A 20,810-nucleotide genomic window follows, 5' to 3' on the forward strand; every position below is an offset into this window, starting at 1 on the left:
CTTAAATGTAAATGTGCTAAATGCTCCATTTAAAAGACACAGACAGACAAATTGGATAAAGAGTCAAGACCTATTAGTGTGCTGTATTCAGGAAACCCATCTCACGTGCAGAGACACACATAGGCCCAAAATAAAGGGATGGAGGAAGATCTACCAAGCAAATCAAAAACAAAGGCAGGGGTTGCAATCCTAGTCTCTGATTCAACAGACTTTAAACCAACAAAGATCAAAAGAGACAAAGAAGGCTGTTACATAATGGTAAAGGGATCAATTCAACAAGAAGAGCTAACTATCCTAAATGTATATGCACCCAATACAGGAGAACCTAGATTCATAAAGCAAGTCATTAGAGACCTACAAAGAGACTTAGACTCCCACACAATAATGTTGGGAGACTTTAACACCCCACTGTCAACATTAGGCAGATCAATGAGACAGAAAGTTAACAAGGATATCCAGGAATTGAACTCAGCTCTGCACCAAGAAGACCTAATAGACATCTACAGAACTCTCCACCCCAAATCAACAGAATATACATTCTTCTCAGCACCACACCACACTTATTCCAAAATTTACCACATAGTTGGAACTAAAGCTCTCCTCAGCAAATGTAAAAGAACAGAAATTATAACTGTCTCTCAGACCACAGTGAAATCAAACTAGAACTCAGGATTAAGAAACTCACTCAAAACTGCTCAACTACATGGAAACTGAACAACCTGCTCCTGAATGACTGCTGGGTACATAACAAAATGAAGGCAGAAATAAAGATGTTCTTTGAAACCAACGAGAAAAAAGACACAACATACCAGAATCTCTGGGACACATTCAAAGCAGTGTGTAGAGGGAAACGTATAGCAGTAAATGCCCATAAGAGAAAGCAGGAAAGATCTAAAATTGACACCCTAACATCACAATTAAAAGAACTAGAGAAGCAAGAGCAAACACCTTCAAAAGCTAGCAGAAGGCAAGAAATAACTAAGATCAGAGCAGAACTGAAGGAAATAGAGATACAAAAAACCCTTCAAAAAAATCAATGAATCCAGGAGCTGGTTTTTTGAAAAGATCAACAAAATTGATAGACTGCTAGCAAGACTAATAAAGAAGAAAAGAGAGAAGAATCAAATAGACTCAATAAAAAAATGACAAAGGAGATATCACCACTGATCCCACAGAGATACAAACTATTATCAGAGAATACTATAAACACCTCTATGCAAATAAACTAGAAAATCTAGAAGAAATGGATACATTCTTCAACACATACACCCTCCCAAGACTAAACCAGGAAGAAGTTGAATCTCCGAATAGACCAATAACAGGCTCTGAAATTGAGGCAATAATTAATAGCCTACCAACCAAAAAAAGTCCAGGACCAGATGGATTCACAGCCGAATTCTACCACAGGTACAAGGAGGAGCTGGTACCATTCCTTCTGCAACTATTCCAATCAATGGAAAAGGAGGAAATCCTCCCTAACTCATTTTATGAGGCCAGCATCATCCTGATACCAAAGCCGGGCAGAGACACAACAAAAAAAGAGAATTTTAGACCAATATCCTTGATGAACATTGATGCAAAAATCCTCAATAAAATACTGGCAAAGTGAATCCAGCAACACATCAGAAAGCTTATCCACAATGATCAAGTGGGCTTCATCCCTGGGATGCAAGGCTGGTTCAACATATGCAAATCAATAAATGTAATCCAGCATATAAACAGAACCAAAGACAAAAACCACATGATTATCTCAATAGATGCAGAAAAGGCCTTTGACAAAATTCAACAACCCTTCATGCTAAAAACTCTCAATAAATTAGGTATTGATGGGACGCATCTCAAAATAATAAGAGCTATCTATGACAAACCCACAGCCAACATCATACTGAATGGACAAAAACTGGAAGCATTCCCTTTGAAAACTGGCATAAGGCAGGGATGTCCTCTCTCACTACTCCTATTCAACATAGTATTGGAAGTTCTGGCCAGGGCAATCAGGTAGGAGAAGGAAATAAAGGGCATTCAATTAGGAAAAGAGGAAGTCAAATTTTTCCTGTGTGCAGATGACATGACTGTATATCTAGAAAACCCCATCGTCTCAGCCCAAAATCTCCTTAAGCTGATAAGCAACTTCAGCAAAGTCTCAGGATACAAAATCAAGGTGCAAAAATCACAAGCATTCCTATACACCAATATCAGACAAACAGAGAGCCAAATCATGAGTGAACTCCTATTCACAATTGCTTCAAAGAGAATAAAATACCTAGGAATCCAACTTACAAGGGACGTGAAGGACCTCTTCAAGGAGAACTACAAACCACTGCTCATCGAAATAAAAGAGGATACAAACAAATGGGAGAACATTCCATGCTCATGAGTAGGAAGAGTCAATATTGTGAAAATGGCCATACTGCCCAAGGTAATTTATAGATTCAATGCCATCCCCATCAAGCTACCAATGACTTTCTTCACAGAATTGGAAAAAAAAAACTACTTTAAAGTTCATATGGAACCAAAAAAGAGCCCGCATTGCCAAGTCAATCCTAAGCCAAAAGAACAAAGCTGGAGGCATCACACTACCTGACTTCAAACTATACTGCAAGGCTACAGTAAACAAAACAGCATGGTACTGGTACCAAAACAGAGTTATAAACCAATGTAACAGAACAGAGCCCTCAGAAATAATGCGGTACATCTACAACTATCTGATCTTTGACAAACCTGAGAAAAACAAGAAATGGGGAAAGGATTCCCTATTGAATAACTGGTGCTGGGAAAACTGGCTAGCCATATGTAGAACGCTGAAACTGGATCCCTTTCTTATACCTTACACAAAAATTAATTCAAGATGGATTAAAGACTTACATGTTAGACCTAAAACCATAAAAACCCTAGAAGAAAACCTAGGCAATACCATTCAGGACATAGGCATGGGCAAGGACTTCATGTCTGAAACACCAAAAGCAATGGCAACAAAAGCCAAAATTGACAAATGGGATCTAATTAAACTAAAGAGCTTCTGCACAGCAAAAGAAACTACCATCAGAGTGAACAGGCAACCTACAGAATGGTAGAAAATTTTTGCAACCTACTCATCTGACAAAGGGCTAATATCCAGAATCTACAATGAACTCCAACAAATTTACAAGAAAAAAACAAACAACCCCATCAAAAATGGGCGAAGGATATGAACAGACAATTCTCAAAAGAAGACATTTATGCAGCCAAAAAACACATGAAAAAATGCTCATCATTACTGGCCATCAGAGAAATGCAAGTCAAAACCACAATGAGATACCATCTCACACCAGTTAGAATGACTATCATTAAAAAGTCAGGAAACAACAGGTGCTGGAGAGGATGTGGAGAAATAGGAACACTCTTACACTGTTGGTGGGACTGTAAACTAGTTCAACCATTGTGGAAGTCAGTGTGGAGATTTCTCAAGGATCTAGAACTAGAAATACCATTTGACCCAGCCATCCCAATACTGGGTATATACCCAAAGGATTATAAATCATGCTCCTATAAAGACACATGCACATGTATGTTTATTGCAGCACTATTCACAATAGCAAAGACTTGGAACCAACCCAAATGTCCAACAATGATAGACTGGATTAAGAAAATGTGGCACATATACACCATGGAATACTATGCAGCCATAAAAAAAGGATGAGTTCATGTCCTTTGTAGGGACATAGATGAAACTGGAAACCATCATTCTCAGCAAACTATTGCAAGGACAAAAAACCAAACACCTCATGTTCTCACTCATGGGCGGGAATTGAACAATGAGAACAAATGGACACAGGAAGGGGAACATCACACACCGGGGACTGTTGTGGGGTGGGGGGAGGGGGAAGGGATAGCATTAGGAGATATACCTAATGCTAAATGATGAGTTAATGGGTGCAGCACACCAACATGGCACATGTATACATATGTAACCAACCTGCACGTTGTGCACATGTACCCTAAAACTTAAAGTATAATATTAATAAAATTAAAAAGAAAAACAAAAAAAGAAAAACAGTGTCTTTCACCACTGACAATGAGAAGAAACCTCATGAAGCAAAATAATAACTTATGTTTATAGCTCTGTAACAGTAAGCTAAGGCCACAATAAGGCTGTGTAACAACCAACCACTAAAATCACAGCAGAATCCACAAACAATCACTTATTACTCACAATCATACAAGTGTTTTTCAAGGATTTATTCATGTGACACCCTTCAAACTTCCATTGGATAAAGTAAGTCATGTGGTCCAGTACAAAGGCGAGGAGTGGAAAAACACACTTCACCTTTTTAGTGAGAGAAACTTCAAAGTTCAATAGCAAAGGGTATAGATGCAGGGAATGATAAACAACTGGATCTATTAATACAGTATACCATAAGCCTCCCTGGAGCACATAAGAGTCTCCTCCAGCTTTACCTCTGGCTGCCTTTTCTAACTCTATGGGCCCCAAGAGACATCATACTTCCCACTGTTAATTTTTATTTGCTTTTGAACGCATGTAATATCATTTCTCACTTAACGATCTTATGCAAACATTCACAATTAATTTTAATATAATCAAACCTCTCTTGATTCACAAAGGCCTCATTCAGAAAATACCTCTTTCAATCTGCCTATTTGGGGAAGTATTTTAGGAGAATGTGATGTCTGAGGCTCATTCTTTGTAGGAATGTGTGCGGTACTGCAGGCCAACATTCGAGCATCACCTTTTAATGAGGGCCTTAGTAGACACCAGTGCACAACAGTATGAATGCAATAACCGAAGAGCAAAGAATAACAAAGTGTGTTGGGAATGGATATTCTCCTACCTGGCTTCCTGTCTCCCATCCATTCTCTAATTAAAGCTAGGGTAGTATTTACACTATTTCTTTCTTTCTACATTTTCGGCTTTATTACATCACCTCATTTTTAAACATTCTTCCTTACAGGCTATATACATGCAATGTGACAGAAGGTAAACAATGAAGATGAACAAATCTCAATAGTTTTAGCAATTACTTTGAACACATTTAGATGTTTATCCACAATTATCTAAACAATTTCTCCTCCCTGAAATTGTTTAGATTCCAATTCCAGAGTTTCTATAATGAGCTTATTACTTTCACAAGGATCCTAAGAAGAATCAAGAATAATCTTACAGTATTAGGGTTTCTGACTTCCCATCTCATGCATTACCAAATAGCAAATAACCAATGTTTGGCTAAGAAAATGTTCAGTTTCTTTAAAATAAGTAATCTATATTTTTCAAGAATCAAGTAGCTTCATTTGAAGGTAATAAAGTACCATCTCCGTGTTCTTTTCACTGGCCTGATTAATATGGACTTGAACTGTCTGGAATTCAGGAGGAAAGTTGTGCAAACATGTTCAGGATGCTACAGAAAGACTTATCTTCAGAATATCATTATACCCTGATAATATCAGAAACTCAGGAAACTTGATCAGTTATTCAAAAAATCATCTCAAAGATATTGTACTATTAATTCTATTATTAAAATGGCTTTCTTCAAGGCTGGTTTGTATGCAGCGAACTCTCTTAGCCAATTTGTTTGCCTTAATAACTTCTTGCTTCCTACAGTCATACTCCATGGTAAATTTTAATGGAGTTTGCGCAAGATTCTCATGCCATCAGAATTATAGCTACCATTCACTAATTTTCCTCTTTGTGCCAAGAACTATATTTGAAAATATTATTACAAATATTCACAAGAACAATCAGGTAGTTTTTGTTATTATTCTCAGTTAAAAATGAGAAAACACACTCCAGGACACTGAGTCTTGTATGTTAGAAATCTAGGATTTTTTTTTAAATAGGTGGTAGAAAGTAACTGAAGAATTTTAAGCAAGAGAATGACATAATCCGAGTCACATTTTGGATAAATTATTCTGGTGGCAGAACTTAACTAATTCTTGGGTGATCTGCCATGGACAAGAATGAAAGTGGATGCTTGTTAGGAGGTCATCATACTGTAGTAAGGGTGATGAGAAACACTACAGGCTGGAATTAAGGTAGTGACATTGTTAGTGAACTTCAGCTTTTTAATTAGTTTTAATGTGTAAACTTACCCTAAGACCTTTCTCAACAGTCTTTCATGCAGCCTTTACAAATATATAATAATTGACATCCATATAAATCATTTTTGTTATTCTTGCCAAGATTTGTGGTTCCCTACTATACACATATGTTTTCACACTGCAGCCTGATTACTTGTATTAGCTACAATGGCGAATGCCCTAATGAAGAGAAGCCAAAGTAAGAAAAAAATCTCTCTCACTCTATGTATTTCTCTCTTTCTTTCTCTTTCTCTGTCTCTCTCTCTCTCTCTCTGTCTCTCTCTCCCTCCCCCCCGCTTTCTCTCTTTCTCTCTCTCCACTGACTGAAATATCCCACATTTCAGTAGGAGGGTAGGGAAACAGAAACAATCAACTTTTTTTATCCAAATGAAAAAAATATAGCACACAACACTTCCTCTGCCATTCTTTAGTGAGAACTTAGTTACGGCACCAGAACTAGCTGCCAGGTAAGCAGCTAGTTTCCAATAGGTCAGCTATATGTCTATAATGAAGAGAAAAAATTGATCTGAAATGACAACTGAAAGTGTACAACAAAATTCTTCCTTACGTTTTTCTGTGTCATTCTCGTAAATACAATTCTTCAATGATTTTAATTGCCGCCCAAACTTTAAACCCTTTCTCCTATTATTCATGTCCTGTTTTATCTGACTCTTTCCTACATACAGGGTATTATTTCCTGTTGCTGTCATTTAAACCTTGTTGTTTTAGTAAAATAAATAAATAAATAAACAAATCCCCCCTTACTCCTTTCCCTTTTTTGCTTTATCCTTATATTTTCTATTAGATTGCAATGCATTCTGACTTCCAAAAACCCTAAGCCTGCATATCTTCTAATCCCATATTTACTGTTTTTTCTGCTACAGAGCCTGACTTGATCCCGCCAACCAGAATAACCCTTCTTCCATTGAACATCTTGAGGTCTTGACATATATCACTTCATAGGTGTTAATCATTTGATTTTTAAAAAATTTAAGCACTTTTATTATTGAATATTGCACATATGCAAAGTAATATATAAAAATAAATGTGATAGATTGTTGCAGTAATAACCCTCAATTTGTTCGAGCCTCTTGTAGCTGTGTTTTTGTGTAATTATCTCCCTCTGAGGTAAAAATCGCATATACATTTTTAAAAATTTATAAGATCAGATTTTTAACTATCATTTATACTAAGAAGTAGCATTATAAATATCTCCCTCACCTATTAAATACTGTGCCATAATTTTGGGATAACCATCATGAATTTTAAAATTTTTAAATCATTCCCTTGCTATCCCTTAATGTACATACATATGTGCCTAAAATATTGAGTTTTGCTTTATTTTGAGTTTATAAAAAGTATATCATACTATATGTAATCTTCTATGATATACTTTATTTCTAAAACATTATGTTGTGGGATTCATCTATAGAATTGTGACTAATTTATTTTCACTGATATATAATGTGATATATTTGTCCATTTTCTACAGATCAATATCTGTGTGACATCTGTATTTTTAGTTATAACATACATGCCTGTATTTATTATTCTCCAAGATAAAGAGTTTTGTCATAAACCTTCTCACATAATTTCTAGGTTCAGATCTCCAGAAGTGTTCCAAGGTAAAAATTTAGGAGAGGAATCCCTAGGTGGTAGGTATGTGAATGTTCTTCTTAACATTATTATATTAATGGCTTTCAAAATTATTTTACCAATTTATACTCCCACCAGCAACATAATAATGCATAATAATATTTTCTTCAACCATGTTAAAACATTCTTTAAAAATTATTTGCCAATCCAGTGTGTATTGTGACATTACTTTGGTATTTATTTGTCTTTTCATAAATGTTAGTGGAGTTGAACATTGTTTTATATATTATTTGGCCATAACTGGCTTGATAACAATTATTTTAAAACAGATAAAGTATTTTTCTTTCTAATTGATGGTTTGGCACTCTTTATGTCCTTATGAGGAGATGCTTGAAAGAAAAAGTAAGAAAACATACTTCTTCAATGTGTTCATTCTAGTTTAACACACAGCCATGAAAGAGGATAAGCTCTTTCAAATCAACTCCTACAACATTATTTAGGATGTAGCATTTCCTATGAGAGCTGTTAGAAACCTTGAATAATAAAACAGATAAAATATGAAGCATTTTAGAAGACTTCTTCAGGCTCTAGAGACAAAGTTTGAGGTACTAATGTTTAAAACTAGTAAAGTTGAAATAAGAGAAAGCAGCACAGATTTTAAAAAGTCATCCAAAAATTCTACATATTTTATTAAATTAGTATTGTCAAAGAATACATTATTTGTCTAATAATAACATATCTTAACCCAATAATATATTCCACTTACAGAATGATCACACTAATACTACAACATCTAGAAGTGTTTGGATTAATAACATTGTTTCCCCACGACACAAATTCTTCTGGACTAGTACTAACTATTCTTGGAAAACCAACTTTCTTGATAACTAGGTCTTAATGCAAAAAATATAGCAAGTTTACAAAAAGAAAGTAGATGTAATTTTAGCACAAAGTGAAGCTGTATAAATCAAGTAAATCTTAAGAATATATAAAGGAACTTAATCGAAAGTAAGGCAGAACTATCTTGTCAATGGTGAGAGATGAGGATGATCAAATATTAACATCTCTTCTGCAAAGGGTTTTTCAAAGCCTTTTCTTGGAGAGCCATTTTAATGTTCAGTGATATTTTAAATCAGAGAAACCTTCTTTATGTCTCTCCTAAACCTTTTATGCTACAATTTAAGTTCCTTTTTCTCACCACATATACAGTATTGGTGAAAAATACATATTACTTTTTTTGTTTGTTTTTCATTAAAAACTCATCTTCATGTAGCATTTACATCAATGAAATGTTATACAAATGTTCCCAGATGTTTAGCTTCATTTTTTTTTTCTCACTGCCGTATTCATTTTCCCAAAAGCTCCTTGGACTATCTAAAAGTTTCAGCAAGTGAAGACATTTAGTAACTAGTACCTAGATTTTATTTTCTGAAAAACATATAGAGATTTCCAAATGACCCTTCTTATTAAACAGAGATAATGTGATTCCATAAGAAACATCCCCAGCACTATGCTGATGGACTCCACCTCAATACCTGTTTTCCAGAGGTAGACCCTGGTGTGATTTAGCTGAGTAGAAAAAGTTGGAGAAGGGTTCTTATTTACTTCCAGTACTTCGCACCTACAGTAGTAATCTTTCTGAGTATATGGTTTTAAATGCCATTACTTGCTGATGACTTACAGATTTATATCTCTGACGCATATGTCTCCTGCAACATCAGGACTTACATTTCTAACTGCTTTCCGGGCATCTCACTCTAACATTAACATGCCCATAACCAAGGTCTCAACTCCTTGGAACAATTCCTTTCTGTCCTATGCAGAACCTAATAAATGATTCCTCCTTCTTTCTAGTTACTTGAGCCTTATTAACAGGAGTTCTTAACTCACTTTGGATGTTTGTCCCCCCAAATCTCATGTTGAAATGTGATCCCCAGTGTTAGAGGTGGAACCTGTGGGGGGGTGGTTTGTGTCATGAGGGCAGATGCCTCATGAATGGCATGATGTCTTCCAGGTGGTTCTGAGTTCAAGCAAGATCTGGTTGTTTGAAATGGTCTGGGACCTTTCTCTCCTCTCTCTTGCTCCCTCTCTTGCCATGTAACACGCTGGGTCCCCTTTATGCCTTCTGCCATAAGTAAAAGCTTCCCAAGCCCTCACCATAAGCCAAGCAGATGGTGCCATGTTTGTATAGCCTAAAGAACCATGAGCCAAATAAACCTCTTTTCTTTAGAATTCACCCAGTCTCAGGTACTTCTTTAGAGCCATGCAGAATGGAATAACACATTCGCTCCCTTCTCACACCCCATTAACTCACCTTATCAACTCTGCCTGTGAAATATTTCCAGATTCCAATTACCTCTCATCACCTCTACCATTACCACACTAGTCCAAGTTACCCTATTCTCTAGGCCTGGCTTATTTCAGTGTCTTCTAACCTGCCCTCCTTTCTTTCTGCCTTTACTGTAACACCAAGTAGTCTCCTCACATGGCCAGATTCCTTTTAAAATACAACTCATGGCCTCTTCTGCTCAAAAACTCCAAATGGCTATGCATCGCTGAGTAAAAATTCAAAGTCCTTCCAGTGGCCTTCAAGATCCTATACAACCTGGCTGCCTACTATCAGCCTACACTTATGTTCTTCCTCTTTTCCCATCAATCACTCTGCATGGCCACACTGGCCTCCTTGCTGTGTCTCTAATATGCCAACCATACTTCTGCAATTGGTGCTATCTTTGCCTGAAACTCCCTTCTCATGGATATCTACATAAATCATTCATTTTGTCTCTATGTCCAATTCTGTATCACCACTATGTGAATTAGGCAACACTTTCTACGTTGGTTGGAAGCTTTTTTCTCCTCTTATAATTTAGAAAAACGAAATCATCCTGTGGGTTTCATATTGTGTTTCTTGTTTTATCTAGATTAGCATACTCTAAAAGTGAAAGATACTGGGATCTATTGGTTTTAAAATAAGGAAATTAGTCCCCTCACTTTCTCAATTTTGATGATGTTCCTTTTAGATGTGCTATCTGTTTCCCATTAAACAGTAAATTAGACCATTTTCCAGTTATTTCTAAATCATTTATTGAGCATCAACTCTGAGAATATCTTTGTGATAACTTTTTAAGGAATTGATAAATTAATGAACGTGCTAAGATTTCCCTATCTCTCAATGTAGAGGGAGAATATTTCCAAATAACTGTAGTAACTGACATAATGGTATGATGTGAAGCATGTATCAAAATAAGAGTGCTATAGTTATTTATTAGAGGGATTAAATACACATGGTTTTGTGTATTTGGTCATTTTGAAGGAATTCACAAATGAGAAAAGTCTCTAGGAATCAATAGAATATCAGCAGGCAAAACTTAGAAAGGACGTTACTGGTGAATAAAAAAAATGTTTTCAAGGTGCATTGGGCGATACAGAGTAGTTAAACTTATTTTCACTTAATAACAGCCCTCAATAATAGAAGGTTAGTGTGAGATGAGATTCACTGGACCCCTATGTTCAATAGCCAAGATTTTTCAAATATTTCCTCTTTCTATCATGACATCCTTGGAGAAATGCTTGCCATCTCAAATAAACTAAAGTTCTAAGTAGAACACCTTAGAAAGGCTTATTGCCCTCAAGATGTATTGTTTGGTACAATATTGTTGACTTTCACCTTTAAAACAAGTAATTGTCAAATAACCAGCCACTATGTGACACGTGTCTTTGCTCCTCCATCTTCCTCCATGATTGTGAAGCCTCCCCAGCCATGTGGAACTGTGAGTCCATTAAACTTCTTTCCTTTATAAATTACCCATTCCTGGGTATGTGCTTATAGCAACGTGAGAACGGACTAATACACCTGTCATATTTGCTTGAAAATAATGTATATTCTGCCGTGTTCTACATATGTCCATTAAGTCATATTTGTTAATAAGGCATCTGCTGTATTCTCAGTAATCTTTTTTCTGTTAATCTATCAATTAATAATAGAGTTTGCTAAAAATCCTTCACTAAAATTGTACACTTTTGATTTATCCTTATAGTTCTAACAATTTATAATTTATTCACTTTTAAAACATAGTATTAGGTACACTTAAGCTTATTAAGCTTAAAATAATGATGATTGAAAACCTTATCAATATGTGTTGATCTTCATTGTCTCTAGTAATGATTGTTTTGTGTTAAAGTGTGAACACACTTTATACATATGATTAAGTCAGAGTTTTTGTTTCTGTTGTTGACTATTGTTGCCCTGATATATATTTCCCTTCATTTTACTTTAAACTTTTCTGTGGTTTTGGGTCTTTAAATAGCATGTAGCTACTGGTTGAAGTTATTATTTTTAAATCTAATATGGTAAAAGTGACTTTTCAATACACTTAAACATTTAAAATTTCATGAGTTTATCTGGATGTGTGTGGGGGGGGATGTGGTCGGGGGGGCAGTCAGGGTCTTACTCTGTCACCCAGGGAGGAGTGGCATGATCATAGTGCATTGCAGTCTCCATCTCCTAGGCTCACATCATTCTCCCACCTTAGCCTCCCATGTATCTAGGACTACAGGCACATGCCACAATGCCAGGCTGATTTTATTTTTTTTAAGTAGAGATGGGGTCTCACTATGTTGCCCAGGCTGGTCTCGAACTCCTGAGCCCAAACAATCCTCTCTCCTTGGTCTCCCAAATGCTGGAATTACAGATGCGAGCCACCACACTCAGCCTAGATTTATTTCTATCATACTACTCTATGCAACATTTCTCCCTTTTAATGTGTCTCTTTTATCTTTTCCTCCTTTTTTTTATTTTGTTGAAATAATTGCATTTTATCACATTGCAATTACCGGTTTAGAACAGGGGTCAAAAGTTTACAATTCAAGGACCCAAATCCAATCCAACACATCTTTGTAAATAAAGTTTTATTGTAATAGACCTACACTCGTTCATTTAGGTATTGTTTATGGTTGCTTTCACACTACAGATGCAGAGTAAAGTAGTTGGAACAAAACTACAAAGCCTAAAATATTTACTGTTAGGTCTCTACAGAAAAAGTGTGCTGACCCTGATTTAGAAGATATATATTGTTTTTCTGGTATTTTATCTTTGCACTTAAAACTTTACCATGAATTCTGAGGCCAAATCAAATTTAATCATCATCATCGAGTAAAATGCAAAACATGTATTTTCAGTTACCTACCTTCTTGCATACATTCCGTAGTTTCACTGTATTTTAAACTCTATCTTAACTCTTTTAACACTATTCTAACTCTACTCTGCTTTTTTTAACCATGGTTTTTAGACAATACTATTTATTTTAATCTATCCCCCATGTTTACTATTTTTTCTTATCAGTTTTGCGTATATTTCCTTTTGGAGTTTATTTTCTTTCTTCCTGAGGTATAGCCATTAGCAGTGGCTTTGCTATTAATGATAAATTCTTTTTCAATTTTCGTTTTATTGTCTCAAAAACATTTTAATTTGCCCTAATTATTGAAGATAGTTTTGCTGGATATAGAATTCTAAATGGCAGTTATTTTTCCTTATCAATTTAAAGACAGTAATTACAAGTTGACTGACTTTTAAGTTGAGAAAACAGTTTGATTGAGGAGCCAACTGTTAGCCCAAAAATTGTCCCCAATTTTCTGGAAGACTGATTAGATGAATGTTAGAGCTCCTTTAATCCCCATGTACTTTTAGTTCTCTGTTAGATTTTCCATCTTTTTATCTGGCTTAATGCTGCCTTCTGGATAGTTTCTTCAGATCTGTCTGCCAGCTCACTATTTCTCTTGTTCCTGATATCAAAACCACTATTTATCACATCCAATAAAGCTTAAAGATTTTTCTTCTTAGATGTTCGATATATTCATTTAAAATATGTTTATACTTACGTTCTTATTCTTTCTTTTTGAAAAATCACATAAAATATACTTACTTATATTCTATATCCAATAATTCAGTAAACAGGACACTTATGAGTTTGGTGTTACCCTTTTTTATTTCTTATAGCTCTTATGGTGCCTTGTTTGTACATTTATTGTGATAGTTTTTGTTTTGTTTGTTTGTTCCTTTGGTTGTTTTGATGTGAGCTTATATTCCTTGGCATATTTTCAGTGGGATTTCCTTGAGTCCTAGGTTGAACGTCAAGTTCCAAAAGATAAATTTCGCGTTTGCTTCTCTCAAATGCTTTTTCAGCTTCACTAATCAGATCAGAGACTTTTAAAACTTACATTTATGCCATAACTGCACACAAGTATATGTGTATGTGTAGATGCCATACATAGTGTGACTTCTAGTCTGAAATCTGAGCTCTGATCTGAGCTCCTGCCCTGCACAGACCTAAGGCTTTGGTTCTTGCCACATGGAATGGTCATTGACCAAAGCTCCAGGCTAATAGCAATCAGAAAATGCTACTAATACAGTACTCATTTCTCCCCTATACACACGTGTGTGTGTGTGTGTGTGTGTGTGTGTGTGTGTGTGTATTGGAGAAAGTGATATGTAGTCTAAGCTATCTTATTGGGCTTATGCTCAGGTTTGAGAATTTTTCTCCTACTCAGCTTTTTCTGTAGATACCTGAAAGAAAATAAATATAGTCCAGCTTTTTAAGTAAGTTCTACTATATTTCACTATATAGTATTATGCACAATGAACTGAAAAATATATTGCTTATATCCCACTAAACTCTTGGGTTAGGTCCTGTTTCCAGACTGATTCTTGAGGCTGTTTATGCAGTATTATCTACTTTATTCTCTTCTCTATAATTTACAGAAGTTGAGGCTCTACTGTATCTACCCATCCCCTACCTTGACCCTTCAGATTTGATTTGATTTGATTTGATTTGATTTTTGAGATGGAGTTTCGCTCTTGTTGCCCACGTTGGAGTGCAATGGTATGATCTCAACTCACTGCAACCTCTGCCTCCCAGGTTCAAGCAATTCTCCTGCCTCAACTTCCCAAGTAGCTGGGATTACAGGCATGTGCCACCACATTCAGCTAATTTTGTATTTTTAGCAGAGATGGAGTTTCACCATGTTGGTCAGTCTGGTCTCAAACTCCTGACCTCAGGTGATCCACCCCCTCGGCCTCCCAAAGTGCTGGGATTACAAATGTGAGCTACTACGCCTGGCCCAGAATTGATTTTAGGCTAGCTGCCTTAGTGAAGTTGAAACAAGGATGCAAAAGTTAACATACATGCTTTTAATTTTTGAAATTTCTTTGTAATTTTCAAAGGCTGTATCTGATGTGACTTTTCCTGTCTTTGAAATCTCTGTATTTAAAACAGCCTTTAACAAATATCACAATAGACTTTTAAAATTTTGCAGAGCCTTTGCTATTTTTTTAAAATTGCTAACTTGGATATAGCATCATTTTCTACTTAAATAAGCATTGACATTGATTGTTACTTTTTGTACTTTCTCTTCAATTATGATCTTAAAGAAACTTGATAAAACACAGATGTATACCTGTATACCAACAATTTTTATGCTTTATCAGCAAAGGCATCTTCACTTCTAACTTTAAAAAATTCCAGACCAAAAAAAAAATTGTGAAAGGAAAAATAGGTAATCTGAGATGGAAATTAGATAATAGATTGAGCACTGGACTGAATGGTTATGAGATGGTTACTTGTGTTTGGGAATGAGGATTTCTTCTGCCTTGAATGGAACTGGAACATAAGCTAATTATTCATTGTAAATGTCTTGGGAGATGATATCTGCCAGCTTGTGAAGTACCCAGTAGACTCTGGCTTGGGTTTGATGATGATGATACTAGGATTATAAAATGACAGTTCTTAGTTGAGAAAAAAATAATTTTGGATTTTCTGCCTGTGTTTTCTTAATTTCTTTAGTTTAATGTAGACTATTTTTGCCTTAGTTTTAAAGAATTTGAATATTTATGATTTATGCCCTTCTATTTCCAAAAAGGATTATGGCCACTTTACAAAGTAAAAACAAGTATAAAACAGAAAAATTAAAAATAAACAATCAAAAAAGTGAGTACATCATTAACGAACTAAAAAGACCTGAATGAAGACCTGTTAAAATAGGTCAAATTATTCTGGTGTCTAGTAAGAGCTTGAGTATCACCAAGGTGATACTAAGAGTTTACTGTAATAGTTATTAGAAACTAATGTGACCAAGTATATGTGCGTATTATGCTACACATATGTAATTTTAGAAAATGCAAAAGCACTGATGCCAATTACCTCCCTTCTCATATGAAAAAGAACAAATGAGGTATTTCTCCATTCTAATTATTTTTTGCTATTTTTAAAATTTGTTGTTTGAACAGATTAAGAAAATCTTTAATTCATGGATTGTTGCTTTGCACATTTAATAGTGAGATAATTATTAACAACACAAAAAACAATTTTGGCAATTAAGAACAACATAAAGAATCATGTGATCCACAAACAGTTTACATTTGATAAATATTCTTATTGTCTCAATTTATGATATACTTACATTTTGTATTCCTTTTAAATAAAGAACCAAATCAAGAACAGCAGAAATTAGCATCTGTTTAATATATTTTAAAATATGGAAATATATTTAAACAGCACATTTAAAGAATAAAACAATAGACTTCCATTTCTTATTCTCTCAATGGTACACCATTAATTAAAAATATATTACTTAATGTACCCCTTAATATAGTTACTGTCAAATTTTCTTTAAGATAAACTGTATTTCAAAACAACATTTTAATATACCCGAATTACAAACAAAGCCATAACATTTTTGAAGACATTTTTGGTATACGTTTGGTTTGAAAGATCCAAAAGGATGATTAATAAATGGTGCTTTATGAATACTTTAGATTAACGGTAAATAAGCCTAACCACAGAGTCACCATAAATAGCAAGTTATCAATCTAAAGATCATTCTTCAAAAAGTCAGTGTGTGTTAAAGAAAGGCCTTAGAGGGCATTCTAATAGATAGAGAAAATAAATTAATTTTAGAGGGAAGAACACACATGCACACACAGACACACACACACACACACACACAACAGAACCTTCCTGTTTGGAATTATTTGTGCTTGGAAGAAGGTTTACAAAATGCCTTTACAAAATAAGGTTTTCATTGAGCTCACTCTCAAAGATATGAAAAATGAATTTCAGCTGTTCTTTAGAAATGGCAATTCTGTCAAAGCCATTCTGGGACTTTTGGTAATTTCCTCCAGTTTAGTTTCAGTGCTTTTACTTCTAAATAAAATCCCTTGCATCACATCAATCAGCAAACTCAGTTATAAAGGAGAGCTAAAGAAAATGGTTCTTTCGGCATCTTCTGCTCTTGTACATTTTACGCATGCAGTGACTCTTGCCTGTGGGGAGGAAAGTGGAGCACATGTAAATGTTTCTTTATTTTGGACTAGGTTTTTAAATCTGAAAAAAAAATTCTGCAGCAGTAGTGTTCTAGATAATAGGCAGACATGATTTATTTGAGGTAAGAAGGTTGTACTACAATTAGTGTTAACTTGGAAAGCTATGGACACAGGCTCAAGCCTGTCTCCTGAAGCTTTGAGCTCTTTGCAAAATCTACAATCCACAAGCCAAAAAGGAACATGCTCCTACAGTTACACCACTTCTGTTAAAGCAAACAGTTAAAACAATTCTGTGCAATCTTTCAGCTTCTATGTTCTGCCTACCGTTTATTTATTCAAATCCAGTTCAACATTTCACTTTATCTAATGAAGCAGGAACTCTAAAAGAGAAATTGTGTTTATCCAAGAATTTTTGTTTGGGTTGTTATTTTTTTAAGTCTTATTTCTAAATAAATATTCTATCATGGTTTTCATTGGCACAATATAACTAAATTATTCAATTTCCTTCCACAATATTAAACAGTCAAAGGAGTTCTGTCTAATCTCAGAAAATTATGTAAAATTGTATTAGAAAAAAATGTTGAAATGGAATTGAATGGACTCAGCATAACCCATTGAAAATTATACTAGATGATCTATTGTATAATGTAGTGGCCTATGAAATAGATTTTATTGATAAAGCCTCCACAGAAGAGAATATATACGTTTAAATAAATAAAAATGACTATATACATGATATTGTACATAGGAAAAGAGTCAAAATGAGCCAGACTAATTTTAGGAAATTCCCCGTTTGTCTGAAAGTATGCTTTTTATTGCAGCCATAAACCTTAATACAGATCTTTTTGTTATTATCAATATTATTTAATATTAGTGGCAGCCACATGAGCGTACTACCATATTTCTATATTTTTTCAAAATGACATTGGAGCTGTCATCAAAGTACAGAACAGAGATGGCATTTAATTTGGTTGGAGCACAACAAGGCTTTGGTACGTGGTCAGGAAACATCAGATGAACCTGGGAAAGAAAAAAGGTTTTGTTTTATTAAGAAATAAAATATACATTCTTTTGCAGTTTTAAAATGGTATGATTATTTTATCACTCATAATCAGGCACACCATTAAGCTGATCTCCCTTCTCCCATTTATTCCATGACTGGGGTGGGGGACTGAAGGATGTATTCTTAAGCATTAACACCTGGAATCAACCCAGCCAATTCAATTATGTGTTTGAACCTTGAAAAATATCTCACCAAATAAAGAAAACTTCCTCTATAGAATATTCAGTGGAAGTTTTCCTAGGGAAAGAACACAGCAACTAGCACGTTGTTGCTTTTAGTTGAAATAACTGTTCCTATATATATCATGAGGAATATGGAAGTTACAAGAGCAAATCAATGAAAACACATAGTTGCAGAAAGATTTGGATCTAAGAATTATCTTTTAAAAGGAAAATTAAGCAATAAATCATACATTTTAAGCCAACTCTTAATTTTCCATGGTAAAAGAAGCATAAAAATCATAATAAAATAAAATCCACATATAATCCAATACTTGCCTTAGAGCAATGATTTCAGCTCTTCATAGAATTTTTTTATCACATTGGCTGGAGTTTAATATCCATTTACTTTTTTTCTCCCTTGCCTGCCCCCTAGACAAGTGCCAAAAAGCAGGCTAAGCTAAATCAGAAGCAAAGGGCCTAGAGACTTTACAAATGAACATCCACCTCCCCAAAAGCCTAAAAAGGTGTCTGTACATGAAAAGTGAAATGCTTAAGTAAAGGGTTGATAATAATTTTGATCAGACTGGCAGTCTGCCTATGATTTGAAATAATTGAGAAAAGAGCCAGAACACAGTTCCCCCATTTCCCACCCACCTATTCTGGCCCTTCCCCCAGAGGAGTTTATGGGAAATCCCACTGATGAGTCTTACGGGATCCACAAAAAGCAAATACAGCCTCTTACAGTTTTGGCTGTACAACGTCCTGGCTGAAATGATATAGGGGCCTTGCATGTGGACAGAAACAGCAGGAAAAATGAGGTGATCTGACATGAACTTGAAATTTCCTAAGGCCTCACAAAACTAAAAGTTGGATAGTTTCTACAAATTTCTGATGCTGCTTATGTCCTTCATCAGCTTTATCTTCCATAACCCACACATACATGATTGATAATCCTGCTGTTTCAATGGCCTTGGCAGCCTAACGGAAAAAAAATGGATTGTTCTTGAATGGTTTCTCAATATATTAGTCACAAACATGCTTTCCTCCGTCTTTTTGTTTCATGTCCTTCACAGAACAAACATAAAGCGTGCACAACACCAGGGAAAAAAAATCAAACTTCACGTGTATGCTCCAGTTTTGCAATGACTTATGTCCTACATCCCAGGGTAGAGATACAGAGCAGACTCTTGTTCAAAGTTTGTGTCAGATTTTTTTTATATTTGTTTTTTGATACTTTACTACAGCCATAAGAGCTGAAAATATGTATTTATTTATTTTAAAAAAGAAAAAATGAGAGAAGGGGGAGTATTTGACAAAGGGTATTTTTCAATAAGTAGGCATTGCTTAGCCTGAGGGAATTTTTGATACATTAGATCCATATCTAAGGAAGCAAAAGTCTGCTTTCATAGTCATCAAAATGATGATAAAAAGAGGCAAAGAATTTTCTGAGAAATTAAATAGCATTACTTCAACTGATAGGAGTTATTCTATGACCTTACAGAAAGACAGTGATCATGAAGTTCTCTTCATAGGATGAAACAACAGCATTCTTCTTTATCTGATATGCTTTCATGTCAACATGAATTCTCATATACAAAGAGAAAAGTTAGCTTCTTAAAAATTCTTTTAGTGGTAGAAGTTTGAATGCAAAACATCCATCCTTGCAAAGCCTACCTACACTCCATACTCCTGGAAACACTATTCCATATAAAGAAGAGCTTATACTTACAGATAGCAAAGGTGAAGTCATATCAGACTTTAAATCCCCCCAGAAATTTACTCTTTACCTTGTATATGGCACTAAAGTAGGCATTCTCACTGGTCATGAATCAATAAAAAGAAGAATACTTATAAATAATTTATTATCAAAATGTATATTTGCTTTATCTTTCTGTTGCTCTCTAGCCCAAGGTTATTTCCAGTCTTTGATAACGTTCATGCTCTAGTTGTTATAGATTGCACTTTTTGGTGTCTAGATATTCTGTCGTATTTTATTAAGTCAATAAAGATGCCAGTAAATATCAAGTCATTCAAGTATTTGCTTTTGCCAGTTCACAGATATCATTGTTTATTCCTTAATTCAGCTTTAAGTTTTAAATTAATTGTGGGGGAAAATAGCAAACTTATGGAGAGTCGAATCTTCACAAATTCTAAGAGTAATTCTTTCTTTTTCCATAAATAAACCTCACCCACAAAGACAAGATTGTCTACTATCTACTTTTCTCTTACTGGCGTCCACCAAATAATTCCACTCCCATCAAGCCTTGATTCTAAAATAATGTGTTCTCTCCCATTCTTCTTAAATACAAAAGTTAAAATTTTTATATTAGCCCAAACATTGATTTAAAATTATGTCACATAGTCTGGTATGTTTTCTAGGAGCCTCTCATTTAGTCTTAGGGAGATTGTTCCTCTGCCAAATCGATAGGCCAGATGCTATGAGGTACATCAGACTCTCAATAGGTTTCATGAGCTCATTAGGTACAAGGCAATCAGTTAATCACGTCAACCCTTCAGTACATTGTTCATAAAAATAAGCCTAGATTATTAGAGATTTAATCACTGCTAAGTTTCTGAGATTGAGGAATAAAGAAAAGGAAGT

The 20,810-nt window shown here is 34.9% G+C and overlaps 1 protein-coding gene across 3 annotated transcripts in view; it reads right to left on the minus strand.

Moving 5' to 3' along the window:
- Positions 1 to 15,974: 15,974 nt before the first annotated feature.
- BMP5 (bone morphogenetic protein 5) overlaps positions 15,975 to 20,810 on the minus strand; it is a 121,938-nt gene continuing 117,102 nt past the window's right edge. For all 3 annotated transcript variants that reach the window (NM_001329756.2, NM_001329754.2, NM_021073.4), the window contains one exon: positions 15,975 to 18,004. In NM_001329756.2, the coding sequence (NP_001316685.1) occupies positions 17,985 to 18,004 (20 nt within the window). In that variant the 3' untranslated portion in view covers positions 15,975 to 17,984. The remainder of the gene's footprint in view (positions 18,005 to 20,810) is intronic.

The sequence above is a fragment of the Homo sapiens genome, chromosome 6, assembly GCF_000001405.40.
Source record: "Homo sapiens chromosome 6, GRCh38.p14 Primary Assembly".
NCBI classification, from domain to species: domain Eukaryota; kingdom Metazoa; phylum Chordata; class Mammalia; order Primates; family Hominidae; genus Homo; species Homo sapiens.